Source organism: Homo sapiens, chromosome 6 (assembly GCF_000001405.40).
Source record: "Homo sapiens chromosome 6, GRCh38.p14 Primary Assembly".
Taxonomy (NCBI): Eukaryota; Metazoa; Chordata; class Mammalia; order Primates; family Hominidae; genus Homo; species Homo sapiens.
Window position 1 is genome coordinate 116,728,974 of NC_000006.12, and position 20,878 is coordinate 116,749,851.

Genomic DNA, 20,878 nt, shown 5'->3' on the forward strand with positions numbered 1-20,878 from the left:
GTGAATATTATTTATGAACATTATTCACAAGAGAGCCTGTTTTGTTCCTACAGGCCTTCTATCCTTCTGAAACACAGTATATGTTTCAGAACATTAGCTGTGATTGTTTTTATGGGAAATTTTCTCAAGTTTAATTTAGATGTCTCTTCTTTCTTTCCATTTCTGTCTACCCCCATATGACCTCCGTGTGTGTGTGTGTGTGTGTGTGTGTGTGTGTGTGTGTGTGTCTGTGTGTAGGCTTGCCTTTAAAAAAAAAAAAAAACAACCTTTCGAACCTACGTTTAATGCTCAGATGAGCACCATGAAAAACAGGCCGAAGTACCAGTTTGTGTCTGTATTTTATAGTCTTTGCAAGACCATTTATTGCTAATTATGTTAAATTAGAGAATAGGTGAGTAAAGAAAATTTTAAGTTTCCTATGTGAGAATTTAAATGTGTGTAATGTTTGCATTTGTATAGGAATACTTTTTCTTAATTGCTTATGTAACATTTCACTATGAAAAATATTTTTGTGTCATTGTTACAAACAGTACTTAAGTCTTTTTAAATCTTTTTTTCCCTGTTTCTTCTCTTTTATATTAATCTGAAGGTATTTGGTAGCTTTAGGCTGCATTAAACCACTTTGTGATCTTTTGACTGTTATGGACTCCAAAATAGTCCAAGTGGCTTTAAATGGACTTGAAAATATTTTACGTCTTGGAGAACAAGAATCTAAGCAGAATGGAATAGGCATTAATCCATACTGTGCTCTCATTGAAGAAGCATATGGTAAGCAATCAGTTAAAAATTTGCAATTATAGTCAGTTCTTATATCTGTCATACTTTCCCCTTCCAGTTCCCTACAATTTTTTTGTTGTAAAAGCAGTATGTATTTTTTTAAGTTTTAAAATGTCACCCGTAATTTTATTACCCTAACAATTTATTTTTATTATTTACCTTTTTTTAACATTGTCTGTATGCACAAATACTTTACATTGACTTAATTGTATTGTATGTATAGTTTTATGTTCTACTTTTTAACATTTTGGAGAAATTTTACATTTCTACATAATTTTTATTATAATGGCCACATAATGTTATGTATATACTATATATATATAAAAATATGTAATTTTTTTTTTTTTTTTTTTTGAGACACAGTTTTACTCCGTCTCCCAGGCTGGAGTGCGGTGGTGTGGTCTTGGCTCACTGAAACCTCCACCTCCCATGTTCAAGCAATTCATGTGCCTCAGCTTCCTGAGTAGCTGGGATTACAGGTGCATGCCACCATGCCCGGCTGATTTTTGTATTTTTAGTAGAGACGGGGTCTCTCCATGTTGGCTAGACTGGTCTCGAGCTCCTGGCCTCAAGTGATCCAGCCACCTCAACCTCCCAAAGTGCTGGAATTACAGATATGAGCCACCATGTCTGGCCATAATGCTACATATTGAGTCAAGTTTTAGCCATTTGAATGGAAGTTTAACCATAACCTGTTGTTGACCATTAGTTTGTTCCCAGTTTATCACTTTATGTATACCAAAATAAGCATCTTTCTGTGTATATGTTTATTTCTTTTATGGAATTAATATCTGGGGATAAATTTTCAGGAATACAGTTGCTGAGTCTTAGGGCACTGACTTCTTTTTAAGCTTTTGATGTCTTCTCATTTTGCTTTCCAAAGGCCTGTTGCTGACAGTGTCACTGGCATTGTATGAATCTATTCTACAACCTCATACTTGTTTTGTTTATTTTGTGGACTCAGCAGATGTAAAATAGTACACCAAGTTGCTTTTATGTACATTTTTTGGTTTATTTCCTATAGATAGTAGTATGTATTTTTCATGAGTTAGTCTGTGTCCTTATCCAAATTGCATATTTATTGTACTTTGTCTGGTTATCTATTTGACTTTTTTTTTTGGTAAAAATTTGAATTTTATTTTATAGTAGTTTATTTTGATATGACTTTTTCCTCGGTCTATTTTTTTTCAGATCATCCATTGAACACATTCTTTTATTTTAATAAAACATACCATGTTCATTTATGTTTAAATAACTCAGTCTAATTTTCTATTCTTTCAAAGTTTACAAAGTCATTGCCTCCACAGAGATTTGATGAAAATTAATTTTTTTATTTGCCAAGTTTTAAAAATTAGGTTCTTAAAACATTTAATCATATGGAATTTATTTTAGATAAGGCATGAATCTAAATTGATTTTCTTTTATTTGCATTAAATATTCACTTTTCTGTATTAAGTCCTCTTACATTGTATGGGTGATTCAGACTTTTATTTTTGATTCTTAAAGCCCATGATATCACTTTGTCTTTCTTTCAAATTATATAACATCACTGGATAAGACATTACATGAATACAAGATATTAGTCACTGATTTAAGAATATTGTCTTACTACAGTCATTATTTTGACCCCGAGTCAGACTAGGGTTTGAGCTATTCTGTGATTGTGTATAGATAGGACTGCTTTGCTGCTTTTTTTTCTGTGATAATCTGATTGAAGTCGTTTATCTGTAATTAAATGAAATGTATTTTCAGCACTACCCAGACTTACGTGTAGAGCTTTTTCTGATAAGCAGTAAAATCGATTGCTATAGATTCTTCTCATCTTTTCAAAATGAGGCCTTTCAGTTTCAATTGTAGATTGTAATTCTTTTAAACCGCACAACAGCCATATGTTTTTTATTGTATGGGTTTGGAAATTTTACACATTTATTTCATAGTGATACTCTCTGGCTCAGCGTGTTTTATTTTCTTCATTTAATTTGTTTTGTTGCTTTCCCTTTTTGGGCTTTGTTAATTACTCTAGAAAGGACCTGTGGAGTTAATCTAAAACTGCCATTTTACAGTTGAGAAACAGAAGAACTAAACTTACCTGGCCAAGATCACACACCTAGCAGGGTGGTGTCTGTGATCTTACTCCCAGGCCTATGGTCCTTCTTCGTATGACACTGCTACATACTCTCATTCTTGAAGTATAAATCGTAAGTGATGGCTATCGGTATGTGCAACAGTTAGATTAAAATAGTCCCGTTGCCAGTGAGGTGATAGATGATGTTCACTTATTATTTTGATTTAAACATATACTGAAATTGTAGTAACAGTTTGTTTATATATATATATATATATATATATATATATATATATATATATATATACTTTGTATAACAGGTCTGGATAAAATTGAGTTTTTGCAAAGCCATGAAAATCAGGAAATTTACCAGAAGGCATTTGATCTGATTGAACATTACTTTGGTGTAGAAGAAGATGACCCCAGCATTGTACCTCAGGTGGATGAAAACCAACAACAGTTTATATTTCAGCAGCAGGAAGCACCAATGGATGGATTTCAACTTTAACTTACTGGAGGAAAAAAAATTTATGGCTAAAAAGGGTAGCTTCAGGTAACTCCTCTTTGTTGCCAATGTAAGAATGTTTGTTTTTTTACATAGAACAGTAAAGAGAATTTGATGCACTTTTAGAAAGCAAAATGAAACAAAAATTTCCATTCAGATGCAACCTTTCATTGTAGTTTGTTGTTGTTTTAGTTTTGTTGTTGTGCCTGTATTTATATCTTCTATTGTTTGGATTTTTGTATCTATTTGTGAATAATTGAATATGCAATTATTTAGTAATTTAAGCTTGAAAAGGAGAATTTTGGTGAAGCATTACTTAGTAATTCTGAATTTTTTCAAGCATTCTTGGAAACTGCACATTAGCAGTAAACCTATTGATAATTGCATTTTGGCAGTAAGTCTTACACATCTAATCTCTACTAAATCTACCTCTATCTTGAAGCAGAAATAAAAACAAAAAAGCTTCAGAAGCATGAAATAATGCAAATGCTAAATTAGAATGTGAAAATATTTATTACCTTAAATTATACATATCACTGTGCTGTAGGTTATACTTTGCAAAAAATTGCAACAGAAAACCTATAAAATTTATTTATAAAACAGAAGAAATATTATACTGATAATCCATTAAAATGTGGCAATTGTGAAGGGAGAAGCTGTTTTTCATGTTGAACACATTAAAAAGATTACTTTATAAAATGTTTAAATATTTCTGTTTTTAACATATAAGTGCTATGTATATTAGTATATTTTGTATTTCAACCAAATATGCTACCATTTTTGAAATAGTGTTTTATTGTTTTTCACTCATTGTTTTAAAGAGCATCATGACAGAGATGTCATCATGAATCTAAAGTAGTGCTGCATATCTAAAATAATAACTAATTATTTCTCTGATTTTTCAGAGCAGTAATTGAAAAGTTTCATTTTCTGTATAATAGTACTAGTTTAAGTTTAAGTACAAGTACAAGTTTAGGTACTCGAATGACAAAATTACCCTGAAGAAATAACCTTATTATGTGTTAAATTGTATTAAATGCATTTAACATTTGGATGCTAAATGATAATGAAAATTGCTAAAGGTTCTTTAATATGGTTCAAATCTATAAGACTTTTTTCTTTTAGTAATACTCAGAGGGTCATTCTGCTGCTTGTTATGAATCATAGATTACATTCATGTCAGATTGATCAATATGTATGTTTTATGATTTAACAGCAAAAACCTCTTCAAACGGAAAATTTGAAAGAAAGGTTTCAATAGAAAAATTATATATATATTTATACATATATATGTGTGTGTGTTACTCTCACAGTTCAACTACTGTTGAACTCAATCTTTTAATTTATAGTTATACGTAGGCTATTTATGTGTCCAATTGTATACCTAGAATACTTACTTAAAACTTAGTTTACAACTCTTTTTAAGATGAGAACTAAGGCAATTTTGATATGATTCATGGTCTATTCTTTAAAAAAAGATTTCATTTATGATAGTATTTGTAATGTTTCTGCTGGAAATCAGAGGCACGTTCCAAGAGGAAAATGTATATAGGAGTACTTTTAAAGAATATGTCACTTTGTAAATTACATATCATGAAACTAAGCTTTTGACAAGATACTTAAAACCTACAGCTGTAAAATACAGGTTTAAATGGTGTTCGTAATGCTGAGTGCATCTGCCAGCCCTTTTTTATTATTAAGTAGAAGATTGTATCTGTGCCCCTTTTTTCGTAGTGGAAGGTATATAGCCGAGTATAAAATGGTTTTCTTTTGCATTATCTGTATTCAAAAAACAGGGTAGTTATATTAAAGCTTACCAAATTGATGGTGAATTTATCAGATTAACCTTTTTGTGGTGCAGATGGTTCTAAGTATCAGGTGACAGGGTATTCTACTCTTTCTAGTCAATTAAAATTGATAATGCAGCATGATTCATAAACTAACCAGCTGTGCCTCCTTTTATTTTGAGGACCCTGTAGTCACTATAATAAATTTCTAAGCCAAATTTTTCAAACAAGATAGTTCTTATAGAAGGAGAAATAATAAATATGTGTGTGTTGATGCATGCACACAGAATGACCTGTGAAAGGAAACTTAAATTTTGCCGGTAAAACAAACATATCTCTACAGACTGTGATTATACTTCATAAGCATTTAAATACAGTTTTATTTATTTCCTTAAATATATTACTTGGGTAATTAATTTTAGATTTGATTGCAAAGAGCACTGTATAGCAGTTGGGACCAGCTCTTGGCTTGGCTTGGCTTGGCTTATTGTTAAGAGTTTATTGGATCAAGACTAACAAATAACTTTGTGATGAAAATTCTTCAAAAATATAGCTACTCTTTTCAAGTATACCATTTAAAATATTTCATCAGGCAGAGCCCTGACCAGGAAAAAAAAAAAAAAAGAAAGAAAGAAAAGAAAAAAATAAATAAAATGCTCCAAAAAGTGTTTTCAGTAGTCTTCACTGGCCCTTGTGGGAGGAAAAATACTTTTTTAACTTGCTTTTCTAAGATTTGTTATATTTAAATCCAAGAGAAACTATGCCGAAAAAAAGTGTTATAAAGAGGAATGCATGTAGCATTAATGCAAATATCAAGAAAATACTTGAAAGAGTCCTTTTCATTTATTTAATTAAATTTGGTGTTTTATTTTGTCTGAATCTGAATTTCTCCTATTTAATCTATGCAATTATGCTTGTTTTATATTTATAAGCACTTGACTCACTGGGTGTGGTCTTTTTACTGTGTTTTATTTCAAAACGTTGTTTTAAGTGATAGTGTCCTTAAATTTTAGTGTCATTTGGTCAACTTACTGGTAACACCAGAACAAGAAAGCAAAAAAGTAATAAATTCTGCTGGCACAGAACTAACATATCATTTGGTAACTGTAAAACCTATTTGCAGTTAAAGGTTGATTTATTGGATAAGGGACTAAAAGAAGCATATATTACCTTTGCCTTTATATTTTTTCTTCTTTTAAGAAGGAGCATTATGGAAAAATAAATATAAAGTCTTAGTGAATTTTTGTTATGGTTCTCAATTCAGCAATCTACTGGCTGCTTGCGAAACTGTGAAATCAAATTGTTCTTAACCTTTATTCAGTTTAGTTTATAGCATTACTGTTTTATGAAATGTGACATTTTAGGAGCCAATATAATAGAGCTCTAAAAGGATAGTATATCTTTAAATTCTGACTGGGGAGTAAGAAGAGAAGATATTCTTACCCTACTAAATAAACCAACTTTTGAGTAGTATGCAATATTATGAAATGTTACAACACTATATTAAAAATAATAAAATATTTTAAAATTGCATTTATATAAATGTGTCCATTTCATTTTTTCTTAAGATTGTTGTTTCCTAACAGAACAAAGACAGATGCTATTATTGGTTAAAAATCCATTTACTTTCTAAAACTAACAAAGGAGAAAAAATAGAATTATAAAAAATAGCTAATCCAAAACTAGACAGAAAAAGAGAAAAAACAAATGAAGATGGAACAAATAGCAAGAAAGATCAAACTCAGTTATATCAGTAGTCACAGTAATTACTAATGATTTAAACATGCCAATTAAAGTGCAGAGGTTATCAGTTTTAATAAAAAAGTAAGGCCGTATTTTGCCTCTAAGAAAATGTTTTCAAGAAGCAAATTGGTGAAAAGGGTGGAAAAAAGATATACCATGCTATCACAAATCAAAAGTAAGTTGGGGTGGCCATATAATGCATATCAAGGTGCATTTCAGAGCAAGGAATATTTATTGCTGGAGATAAAGAGGGTCATTTGATAAAGGGATCAATTCATGATAGTCAAAATGTAGAAACAAATGTTCATCAGCCAATGGATAAATAAAATGTTATATTCATAAAATGGGATATTACTCAGTAATAAAATGAAATATGGATATATGGTACAACATGGATGAACATTGAAAACATTAGGCTAAGTGAAAGAAACCAGATTCCATTTATATGAAGTGTTCGGAATAGACAAATCTATAGAAACAGAAATAAATTAGTATCTAGGACTGGGGAAAGTTGGAAATGGGAGGTGACTGGGTACAAAGTTTCTTCTTTGAGCAATAAAAATAGGATTTTCTAATAAATTCAGAGATGTGCTGCCATCACCATAAGCAAAAGTTCACTTTTTTACTGGCACTAGCCATATTTCAAGTGCTCAGTAGGGAGTGCAGGGCTACAGTATGTTTTTTAAATCACGTGAGAGTAACACAAAGTTTTAAATGCATATTTTACACCCCAAAGCAACCAATTCTTGTTCTTGGAGTTAGCTGAGCTTCCTAGGATCCATGGATTTATAGTTTTCATCAAATTTGAAAACACAGCAATTATTTAAACATTTTTTCATTTCCAATTCCGCTTATATTAGTCTGCCTGAAATACTCACACAGCTTATTAATGCTTTGCTCATTTTTGGTTATTTTTCATTTTGTATAGTTTTCATTGTTTCGTCTTCAAGTTCACTAATCTTGTCTTCTGCTGTGTCTAATCTCTTAATTCCATTAGTGTATTTTTTATGTCAGACATTGTGTATTTTATCTTTAAAAATTCAATTTGGATCTGTTTTATATCTTCCATTTTTTTTATCATACTCAAGCTTTCCTCTGCTGGCTTGAACACAGCAAGTATAATAGCTGTTTGAATGGCCTTGCTACTAATTCTGTCATTTCTTGCTCTGTTTCTGTTTATTGATTTTTTTATTATGAGTTGTATTTTTCATTTGCATGCGTTTACATGTTTGGATATTGAATTTCCCATATTTGTTCTTCTTAACACAAGTTACTAGGGGAAAAAATGTGATCCTTTAAAGGCTTGCTTTTAAACTTTGTAAGGCAGGCACAGAACAACGTTTATTTTACTGCTGAGTCAGTACCATTCCGAGTACTCTATTACCCTATGAATTACAAGGGATTTTCACTTTGGCTAGTGGAACTTAAACTGTTCCTGATCATTGTGGGCTCCAAAAATTGTTTCCCCTTGTGCTTTCAGGTGATTCTTTAGAAGGCCTTGGGTAGTAGTCACATGTGGTCAATAGTACTTGGCTGAAGACTCAAAGGGGAATCCTCTGCAGATAATCTGGAGCAATCTGTGTAGTTTTGTCACATTTGGTACTCTACCTTGTGAACTCTAGTTTTGTCCTCCCTGGCTTCCTAACTCTTTCTCCCCATCTCAGAGACTTTGTGGCTATACCTGAATTTCCCTTCCTTGCCCTGCAATCGTGAAACTCTAGGCAGTAAGAGACAGAGCAGTCATAGGGCTCAACTAGTTTGTTTCCTCTGTTTCATAGATCACGGTTCCTCATTATCTGATGTCTAATGTCTGGAAACTGTTGTTTCATGTTTTTGTCCTGGTCCCTATTACTCTAGTTTGGCTTAAAGCAGAAGTTAGCATACCAATCTATGTTCTTTTTAAAATCTCTGTTTAATGTGGGCTTTGATCATTTTTCATATTGTTTTCTTGGTGCCTTTTTGTCTCAATCACTTTCGCTGAATTCAGTTATAGTGATTATAGTCTTTTTACTTATTTCCTTAGTTTTTGCTCATAATTTTAGAATTTCCAATCTTTTATTCTCTTTGGATTTATTCTTAAGTCTTTCCCTAATTTCCCTAAACATTTAAGGTTGTTAAATGTTTAATTTGGGAAGGCTAAAAATTTACCTTGAAGTACCATTTCAGCTGCATTCCACAAGTTATTCAGCTCTAAGTATTTTAAAGTTTATATTATGATTTATTCGTGACCTATGAAAATTGACAGACCGTTAGCAAGACTAATAAAGAAGAAAAGAGAGAAGAATCAAATAGACGCAATAAAAAATGATAAAGGGGATATCACCACCGATCCCACAGAAATACAAACTACCATCAGAGAATACTATAAACACCTCTACGCAAATATACTAGAAAATCTAGAAGAAATGGATAAATTCCTCGACACATAAACCCTCCCAAGACTAAACCAGGAAGAAGTTGAATCTCTGAATAGACCAATAACAGGATCTGAAATTGTGGCAATAATCAATAGCTTACCAACAAAAAGAGTCCAGGACCAGATGGATTCACAGCTGAATTCTACCAGAGGTACAAGGAGGAACTGGTACCATTCCTTCTGAAACTATTCCAATCAATAGAAAAAGAGGGAATCCTCCCTAACTCATTTTCTGAGGCCAGCATCATCCTGATACCAAAGCTGGGCAGAGACACAACCAAAAAAGAGAATTTTAGACCAATATCCTTGGTGAACATTGATGCAAAAATCCTCAATAAAATACTGGCAAACCGAATCCAGCAGCACATCAAAAAGCTTATCCACCATGATCAAGTGGGCTTCATCCCTGGGATGCAAGGCTGGTTCAATATACGCAAATCAATAAATGTAATCCAGCATATAAACAGAACCAAAGACAAAAAACACATGATTATCTCAACAAATGCAGAAAAGGCCTTCGACAAAATTCAACAACGCTTCATGCTAAAAAACTCTCAATAAATTAGGTATTGATGGGACGTATCTCCAAATAATAAGAGCTATCTATGACAAACCCACAGCCAATATCATACTGAATGGGCAAAAACTGGAAGCATTCCCTTTGAAAACTGGCACAAGACAGGGATGCCCTCTCTCACCACTCCTATTCAACATAGTGTTGGAAGTTCTGGCCAGGGCAATTAGGCAGGAGAAGGAAATAAAGGGTATTCAATTAGGAAAAGAGGAAATCAAATTGTCCCTGTTTGCAGATGACATGATTGTATATCTAGAAAACCCCATTGTCTAAGCCCAAAATCTCCTTAAGCTGATAAGCAACTTCAGCAAAGTCTCAGGATACAAAATCAATGTACAAAAATCACAAGAATTCTTATACACCAATAACAGACAAACAGCCAAATCATGAGTGAACTCCCATTCACAATTGCTTCAAAGAGAATAAAATACTTAGGAATCCAACTTACAAGGGACGTGAAGGACCTCTTCAAGGAGAACTACAAACCACTGCTCAATGAAATAAAAGAGGATACAAAGAAATGGAAGAACATTCCATGCTCATGGGTAGGAAGAATCAATATCGTGAAAATGGCCATACTGCCCAAGGTAATTTATAGATTCAATGCCATCCCCATCAAGCTACCAATGCCTTTCTTCACAGAATTGCAAAAAACTACTTTAAAGTTCATATGGAACCAAAAAAGAGCCCGCATCGCCAAGTCAATCCTAAGCCAAAAGAACACAGCTGGAAGCATCACGCTACCTGACTTCAAACTATACTATAAGGCGACAGTAACCAAAACAGCATGGTACCAGTACCAAAACAGATATAGATCAATGGAACAGAACAGAGCCATCAGAAATAATGCCGCATATCTACAACTATCTGATCTTTGACAAACCTGAGAAAAACAAGCAATGGGGAAAGGATTCCCTATTTAATAAATGGTGCTGGGAAAACTGGCTAGCCATATGTAGAAAGCTGAAACTGTATCCCTTCCTTACACCTTATACAAAAATTAATTCAAGATGGATTAAAGACTTAAACATTAGACCAAAAACCATAAAAACCCTAGAAGAAAACCTAGGCATTACCATTCAGGACATAGGGATGGGCAAGGACTTCATGTCTAAAACACCAAAAGCAATGGCAACAAAAGCCAAAATTGACAAATGGGATGTAATTGAACTAAAGAGCTTCTGCACAGCAAAAGAAACTACCATCAGAGTGAACAGGCAACCTACAAAATGGGAGAAAATTTTCACAACCTACTCATCTGACAAAGGGCTAATATCCAGAATCTACAATGAACTCAAACAAATTTACAAGAAAAAAACAACCCCATCAAAAAGTGGGTGAAGGACATGAACAGACACTTCTCAAAAGAAGACATTTATGCAGCCAAAAAACACATGAAAAAATGCTCACCATCACTGGCCATCAGACAAATGCAAATCAAAACCACAATGAGATACCATCTCACACCAGTCAGAATGGCAATCATTAAAAAGTCAGGAAACAACAGGTGCTGGAGAGGATGTGGAGAAATAGGAACACTTTTACACTGTTGGTGGGACTGTAAACTAGTTCAAGCATTGTGGAAGTCAGTTTGGCGATTCCTCAGTGATCTAGAACTAGAAATACCATTTGACCCAGCCATCCCATTACTGGGTATATACCCAAAGGAATATAAATCATGCTGCTATAAAGACACATGCACACATATGTTTATTGCAGCACTATTCACGATAGCAAAGACTTGGAATCAACCCAAATGTCCAACAATGATAGACTGGATTAAGAAAATGTGGCACATATACACCATGGAATACTATGCAGCCATAAAAAATGATGAGTTCATGTCCTTTGTAGGGACATGGATGAAATTGGAAATCATCCTTCTCAGTAAGCTATCGCAAGAACAAAAAACCAAATGCCGCATCTTCTCACTCATAGGTGGGAATTGAACAATGAGAACACATGGACACAGGAAGGGGAACATCACACTCTGGGGACTGTTGTGGGGTTGGGGGAGGGGGGAGGGATAGCTTTAGGAGATATACCTAATGCTAAATGACGAGTTAATGGGTGCAGCACACCAACATGGCACATGTATACATATGTAACTAACCTGCACATTGTGCACATGTACCCTGAAACTTAAAGTATAATAAAAAAAAAAGAAATGTACTTTTAAATTTCAGACCTTAAAAATATGCCACTAACTTCTAAGTTGTGATGTGATTACATGAGTTTGAAATTCGTTGATACTTGCTTTATGATCTGATATGTGTTGGTTTTAGTGAAATGGCCCATGTGTGTAAGAAAAGAATGTGTTTTGTTAATTGATTCATGTCTTTTACATACTAGTCTGCTTAATTCATCAGTTTCTAACTCGCCAGTTTCTAAGAGAGGTGTGTTAAAATCTCCCAAGATGATTGGTGGATTTTGAATTTTCCATATAGTTCTGACGATTTTTTTGTGTTTTATATGTTTTTTACATTATTTTGTGCATAGAAATTTAGAATTACATCTTTTTTTTTAAGGTTCAGATGAGAATTTGTACATTTATGTGCTAAAAGTACAGAACAATAGTTGACATTTTCAGAGTACTTGTTAAGTGAATTTTAACAAAATAGTTGAAACTTATTTGAAAATATTTTCCCTTTGGTCTTTGTGGTAGAAATGACAGACTTTTTCATTGAATGATGAGGACACAGCAGCCATATTATGCCAAGAGGAAAAATATCATGATCATATTGAAAGATCAAGCATGAGCTTCCATGGTGAAGTCTTCTGTACCAATGCACCAGAGAATGCCTACCATCCAAAAAAGCAGTCAGCTGATGGAAAAGAAGATTATTAAACCTTTGTTCTGGGATTTACTGTTAAAAAACAAACAAAAAACAACAAAAAAGCGGTGACAGGAAACAGTTAAGGAAATGATTTAACTGAAGGGAAGCAAGATTTTTTTAAAGCATTGTTCTTAATCCCCATGACTGTCCTTCAGTCACAATTCCAGAATAAAAGAATCTACTTTGTGTATTAATGTTTTATGCTTTTTATGAAACAATCAGGTCTTTTATTTTCCCCCTTCTTGAACCACAGGGGTAACTATCTTTTCACCCAATCCAAGTGCTGGTCATAAATACACAAAAAACTTGTGTTTATCATGCAAACCACTAGCACCAAGAAATTTTATTTGTTGCAATTTGATGTCAAATAACATTACTGGGTAAATAACTTTTTATATACACATACTAAAACACAAATGCAGATTTATGGGTCAGATGACAGTTATTATTTTTCCTGTGCATGTGGTAATTCATTAACATCGCCTCAGAAATATATTAGAATACACATGTGTATATAGAATATACATTCGTACCTACATAAACATGTGATATGTATAGTTTTTAACAAATACACTGGCCATTACCCATTACACTTGAAAATACATGTATGAACTACCTCATGAAATGTAAACAGGAGTATAAAGAACCACAAGTTTCTACCGATAATAGACATCTAAAAGTCTTGACTATGGAGAGAGAGTTCTTTTTTACATAAACATATTTAACCCAAAGTAGAAGTCATTTTTGGAAATCCCTCTATTAGATAACACAATTCTCCTTCATTTGATACTGATTTCTGTTGTACTAACCACAGCCTATTTTTTATATACTCCTAACAGAATAAGACACACAAAAATAAGAGTTAAATATTGGTGTGTTTTAAAACTCTCACATCTTTGAAAGCACTACTTGAACCTACCTACTTTATTTTATTTCTGACTGTGCCCTAAGACACCATGAAGAGAAGACGCCAATTTAAAAAGTTCAACAAATAGGAAAATCCTATTGGTATAAAAATTTAAAATATTGGCTTTCTAGCTCAGTAATTGTCACAGCTTACTGTATTCAAGTGAACATCTATACATCTATTCCTGCTTGCATCTTAGAGTGGGATTTAAAATTTTTCAAAGGATAATCCTTCAATATTGTATTTTGAAGCACGTACATTAAGGTAAATTTCTTTTAAAGCTATCACACTTTCTGTGTGAAAGTTGAAGACAACTTATATGAATAATATTCTGTTATGTAAGGAAGGGGTATTCCAGTTGTACCCGTAAAACTGACAAATCTGTCCTAGTGTTGGGGATTTGCCACTAAGTTTTTTGTTGGGATAGAAATTATACTTTAAAAGGGGGAAAATCCTTTTTTTTTTTTTAAATGAACAAGCACCCCTTTTTATTGTTCTCTCTAGAGTCTATGTTTTGAAAGATGTCAAACTCCACTAATTGATATTTAATTCCAGTTTTAAATAATCAGCTGTACAAATGCGTTTTTAAAGTATAATAAGCAACATTTCAAAAACTAAAAAGATTTTAATCTTATTTAATCACGATGATATTGTAGTTAGCTCAGTGACTATAGATTCAGAAATACTAGTTTAACATGGTAATTGTTTTAAATTTTTTTTTGCTTTTCCATTTGTTTAGACTTTTTTTCTTTCATGAATGTATTTTTTATTTTAAATTGAGAAATAATGGTATATATTTATGGGGTATATTGTGTTTTTTAAATATATTTGCATCATGACATGATAAAAATCAAGCTAATTAACATATCTGTCACCTTACTTACCCTTTTTTATGATGAGAACATTTAAAATCTACTCTTTTTTTTTCCCTCCTCAAGATAGAGTCTCACTCCGTCACCCAGGCTGGAGTGCAGTGGCATGATCTTGGCTCACTGCAACCTCCATCACCCAGGTTCAAGCAATTCTCATGCCTCAGCCTCCCAAGTAGCTGGGATGACAGGCGTGCACCACCATGCCCGGCTAGTTTTTTGTATTTTTAGTAGAGATGGGGTTTCGCCATATTGCCCAGGCTGGTCTAGAACTCCTGGCCTCAAGCAATCCGCCCACCCCACCTCAGTCTCCCAAAGTGTTGGGATTACAGGCGTGAGCCACCGTGCCTGGCTAAAATCTCTTTTAGCAATTTTGAAATACACAATACATGGTTACTAACTATAGTCAGCATGCTGTGCAATGGATCTTTAAAACCTATTCCATATGTTACTGACAACTTTGTACCCTTTGACTGTCTCCCCATTCCTCATCCCCTCCATATCCCCCAATCTGGTAACCTTCATTCTACTCTCTACTTCTATGAGTTTGAGTTGTTTAGATTCTACATATAAGTGAGATCACACAGTTTTTGTCTTTTTGTTCCTGGCTTATTTCACCCAGCATAATGTCCTCCAGATTCAGTCATGTTGTAAATGGCAGAATTTCCTCTTTTTGTTGGATGAATAGTATTCCATTTTACCACATTTTCTTTATTCATTCCTCCTTGATGGGCAATTAGGTTGCTTTCATATCATGGCCATTGTGAATAATGCTGCAATGAACATGCAAGTGCAGATATCACTTTGACATACTGATTTCAAGTCCTTAGGATATATATCCAGAAGTGGGATTGCTGGATTATATGGTAATTCTATTTGAAATTTTTTGACGAATGTCTGTACTTTTTTCTATAATAGCTATATTTCCATTCTACCAACAGTGTACAAAAGGTGCCTTTTCTCCACATCCTCACCAATACTTATCTTTCATCTTTTTGATAATAGCCATTCTGACAGATGTGAGGTAATGTATCATTATAATTTTAATTTGTATTTCCCTATGATCAATGATTTTAAGCATTTTTTTCATATATCTATTGGCCATTTGTATGTCTTCTTTGGATAAGTGTCTATCAGGTCCTTTGTCCATTTTTTAATTGGGTAATTTATTTTTCCTGCTATTGAGTTGAGTTTCTAATATATTTTGGATAGAAACTCTGTATCACATATATAATTTGCACATATTTTCTCCTAATCCATGGGCTTTCTCTTCACTCTATTGATTGTTTTCTTTGCTATGATAGTTTTTTTTTTAGTTTGAAGTGAAATGGCCTCATTACCTGGGGTGGCATCTGAAGTTCTTGGTCTCATGGCCGAGTAAATCAAGGACGCACACACGCCAAGGGTGAGGTCAGAGCAGAAGCAGACGTTTAATAGACAAAAGAGAACAACTGTTTGTTGCAGAGAGCGGTCACAAAAGGGTTGCCATTCAGCAGTGAAATGCAAGGGTTTTATAAGTGAGTTAGTGGGGAGGCAGTATCTTATCTCATAGGGCACAAAAAACTGGTTAGGACCAGGTATGCTATCTGCATAGAATGTGAATCTCTGGCATCCCCCACCCCAACCTTTTATTATGCTGGGGGTCCTTTGCCTGAGTGACTCCACATTGCTTTCCTACTGTGCACGTGCTAAAAAAAAGGGGGAGGTGGAGCCCCCATGGTGGACATGCGTGGCCCCAGGTACCCCTTTCTACCGGTGCAGTTGCAGACATTCCCCGCATGCAAGCTTCCAGCTTCCTTATCACTGTTTGCAGCCCGATCTTCCAGGCTGCTCTTTGTTAGTAAAAAAGTGATTTCTTTGGCTGCTTTTTGTTAGAAGGGAAGTTCTGCCAAGAACTTTTTGCCTTAACTATCTGCCTAGCTAGTCTCTTTTTATCTCCTCTCTCATAAGTAATCACATTTGTCTTTTTTCTTTTGTTGCTTGTGCTTCGGAGTTCTTATCCAAAAAATCATTGCCCATACCAATGTCATAGAGCTTTTCTCTGTTTTATTCTACTAGTTTTACAGTCTCAGGTCTTATGTTTAAGTTTTTAATCCATTTCAAGTTGATTTTTCTACATAGTGTGAGATGAAGGTCTTATTTCATTCTTTTGCATGTGGATGTCCAGTTTTTCCAACACCATTTACTGAAAGACTCTCTCCATTGGGTGTTCTTGACACCTTTGTCAAAAATCAATTGACCATATAGATATGTGGGTTTATTTCTGGGCTCTCTATTCTTTTCCACTGCTTGTTGTGTCTGTTTTGATGCCAGTACCATGCTATTTTGATTACTATAGCTTAGTAATATATTTTGAAATCAGATATTGTGATTCCTCCAGCATTATTCTTTTTAAACAATATTGCTTTGGCTATCTGGAGTCTTCTGTGGTTCCATACCAATTTTAGAATTTCTTTTTCTATTTCTGTGGAAAATGTCATTAGACTTTTGATAGGGATTGCATTGAATCTGTAGATTGTTTTGGATAGTTATGGACATTTTAACAATATTCTTCCAATCCATGAACACAGGATATCTTTCCATTTATTTATGTCTTCTTCAATTTCATTTCTCAATGTTTTATTTATAGTTTTTGGCATGTAGATCTTTTACCTCTCTGGTTGATTTATCTTTCAGTATTTTTTGGTGCTATTGTACATGGAGTTGTTTCTTAATTTCTCCCTTGAATAATTTGTAGTTAGTTTATAGAAATGCTGCTGGTTTTGTATCCTGCAACTTTACTGAATTCCTTTATCAGTTTTAACAGCTTTTTTGGAAGAGGCTTTAGGGCTTTCTATGTATAACATCACATCATCAGCAACAGAGACAATTTCAGTTCTTCCTTTCCTTTAACTATTTTCAAAATAATGTGATTCCCTGGCCTTCTCTAACAGTGACCTGATTTCTTGTTTTTGTTTTATTATTTTGAACTCACAGATTTAAATCTGTTTGAAGAGGTTCAACCTTTTCCAGTTACTATTCTTGCTGATGTTCCTATTTTTGGCTGGTGGCACTGTTGTCAGGTTGGTTCTAGAGGTCTTTGGACATAGCCTCAAAGCTGTATTAGCTTCCTTATTTTCTGTATGGCCAGATGTTCCAGGACCATCCTGTGTATTTCATGTACCAGACCTGGAATAAGCCAACTCAGGAGGGAGCCCTGGGTTTCTTTTAATATGAAATAGTAGTTAGAAACCAAGATCTGGGCGCTAGGACTGCATATTACTACTGTGTTGTCCATTGCTATCAATGGACAGAACTAAGAAAAATGTGTTGTTGTGTTTTTTTTTTGAGATGGAGTTTCGCTTTTGTTGCCCAGGCTGGAGTGCAATGGACCAATCTTGGCTCACCACAACCTCCACCTCCCGGGTTCCAGCGATTCTCCTGCCTCACCTTCCCGAGTAGCTGGGATTACAGGCATGCACCACCATGCCCGGCTAATTTTGTAGTTTTAGTAGAGAAGGGGTTTCTCTGTATTGGTCAGGCTGGTCTCAAATTCCCAACCTCAGGTAATCTGCTCGCCTTGGCCTCCCAAAATGCTGGGATTACAGGTGTGAGCCATCACGCCTGGCATTTTTTTTTTTTTTTTTTTTTTTGGAGACAAGAGTATCCCTCTTGTTGCCCAGGCTGGAGTACAATGGCACAATCTCAGCTCACTGCATCCTCCGCCTCCCCGGTTCAAGCGATTCTCCTGCCTCAGCCTCCTGAGTAGCTGGGATTACAGGCATGTGCCACAATGCCCGGCTAATATTTTGTATTTTTAGTAGAGACAGGGTTTCACGATGTTGGCCAGGCTGGTCTCGAACTCCTGACCTCAGGTGATCCGCCTGCCTTGGCCCCTCAAAGTGCTGGGATTACAGGTGTGAGTCACTGCGCCTGGCCCAAAAAATGTGTGTGTGTTTTTTCCTTTTAACTCACTTGCTGTATCATTTTATATATGTAATATATATTTGTATGGTTGTCATATTAACAATACCAATATTATCACTAATAGTATGTGTATTAGGATTCTCCAGAGAGAACTAATAACAATAGATAGACACATGAGAAGGGATTTATTAGGGGAATTGGCTTATGCAATTATAGAAGCTGAGAAGTCTCACAATAGGCCATCTCCAAGCTGGAGAACTAGGAAGGTGGGTAGTCTGGCCTGGTCCAAGTCTGAAAGCCTCAGAACCAGGAAAGCTGATGGTATAACTCTCAGTGTAAGGGTGAAAGCCCTAGAATCCACGGGGCTTCTGCAAGTCTTAGAGTCCAAAGCTAGAGAACCTGGAGGTCTGATGACCAATGAATGACAGAAGATGGATATGCCAGCTCCAGAAGAGAGAATGAATTCATCTTTCCTCTACCTTTTTGTTTTAAGTCCTCAGCTGGTTGGATGGTTCCTGTCTACACAGAGGGTGCATTTTCTTTAAAAGCCCACTAATTCAAATGTCAATCTCTTCCAGAAACACCCTCACAGATACACCCAGAAATAATGTTATAACAGCTATCTGCATATTCCTTAATCTAGTCAAGTAGACACCTAAAATTAATCATCACAATTTGCTTACTGAAAATGTTTTCTGGGAGATGGGGAGGGGATATCTTTTTTAAACATCGAGTATATACCACTAGAAATATTTTTAAATCACTTGAAATATTCACTCTCCATCTGGCCATCCTACCAATTTAATACACGGGTTTATCTGTTCGATTTTGGTTTTGAGTTTTTAAAAAAGTTGACCACTTTTTTTAACAATTTTATTTAATATATGACCTTTACATTGTTCAAGAGGATAAAACAAGTTATATGCAGAAAAGTTTCACTTTTATCACTGCCTCTCCTCCACCTATTTCTTCCTTTCTTCTATATATAACATTAAAAACTTTTTCTTGGTTTATACTACCATTGTTTTTTTAACATAATAATAAATACATTTACAGCTCCCCTCCGTTTACTGAATACTACATATGCTTTCCTCCAATGCACTTTTCTCACTTAACTCTATTCTGTAGCTCATTCCATAGCAGGATGCAGAGCTCTTCATTTCTTACCACATCTGCACAGTACTCCATTGTGTGAACCTAGCATTATTTATTCAATCAATCCTCTACTGATGGACAATTAAATTGTTTTCAGTCTTTGCTACTGCAAATAGTATGACAGTGAAAATCACTGTAAACTGTTAGGTCCATAAACATGCAGTTTTGCTAGAAACTGTCCAATTTCCATCCGCAAGGGTCATACTATCTTCTATTCAGAACAGCAACATATAAGAATACCTACCACATCCCAGCCTTGGAAACATAGTATGTTGTTCAGGTCACTTTTTAAAGCAGTTTTATTTTCATATAATTTCTATATACCACTGTAATTTTTATATACCATAAAGTTCACCCATTTTATGTGTACATTTTTCTTTGTAAATTTACCCACTTGTGCAGTTGTGCATTACAACAATCCAGTTTTAGAACACTTCCATTAAATCCTCAGTAAATTCTGCTGTGAGCACTTTTAACCAAATACTTGATGTAGACTTATGTGGGGGGGTTAACACAGATGGCATAAAATCTGGTCTCAAAAAACATGTAATAACAAACATGGTTAAGTGTTCTTAAAGATTTTTTTCCTCTATTTTTTCTTTTTTTAAGATATTAACATGATAGGTTTCTCTCTCTTTTTTACTCTGTCTCTCTTACTGTTCATTTAGATCTCAAGATGATAAGTAAATTTCTCCTCTCTTTGTCTCTCTCTCTCTGGAGCACTGTGATGACTGGTTTTATGTGTAAATTTGGCTAGGCTATCGTACCCAGTTTCCAATTAAACATGAATCTAAATGTTGCTGTGAAAGTATTCTGTAGTTGGGTAAGCATCTATAGTCAGATAAGTCTAATTAAAGGAGGTATCTTTGATAATCTGGGTAGGTGTCATCCAATCAGTTGAAAGGCCTTAATAATAAAACTGAGGTTTCCCTGAGGAAGAAAAAAAGTTGCCTTTGGACTGTAGCTTCAGCTTCTGCCAGAGAATTCTCAGCCTGCTGGCCTGCCCTACAGGTTTCTGATTTGCCAGCCCCTGCAATCAGGTAAGCTAATTCCTATAATCTATCTGTCTGTCTGTCTATCTATCTATCTATCTATCTATCTATCTATCATCTTTCTATCTTTTACATATACATACATATGTACATGTAAGTATACACACACTTTCAATTATCTTAAAAATATGCTACTCCTTAAAAGTCTTTTTACACCTTCAAGATTCCTGAAATTTCTAAATATTATTGAACAGCTCAAAGAGAATATTTATAAGGATGAATATGATATATATTCTACCAGAGAAATAGGACATTATATCTCCTATTGTTCCATTTGTCTGGTAG

At 34.4% G+C, this 20,878-nt stretch overlaps 1 protein-coding gene across 9 annotated transcripts in view; it reads left to right on the top strand.

The window, feature by feature from the left end:
- The window catches only part of KPNA5 (karyopherin subunit alpha 5), a 60,657-nt gene extending 47,763 nt beyond the window's left edge, over positions 1-12,894 (top strand). For 5 of the 9 annotated variants that reach the window (NM_001366307.2, NM_001366305.2, NM_001366306.2 and 2 more), the window contains 2 exons: positions 590-768; positions 3,163-12,894. In NM_001366307.2, the coding sequence (NP_001353236.1) occupies positions 590-768; positions 3,163-3,350 (367 nt within the window). In that variant the 3' untranslated portion in view covers positions 3,351-12,894. The remainder of the gene's footprint in view (positions 1-589; positions 769-3,162) is intronic. The other 4 variants (NM_001366304.1, NM_002269.3, XM_017010841.3 and 1 more) reach the window with 2 other exon arrangements.
- The last annotated feature ends 7,984 nt before the right edge of the window (positions 12,895-20,878 follow it).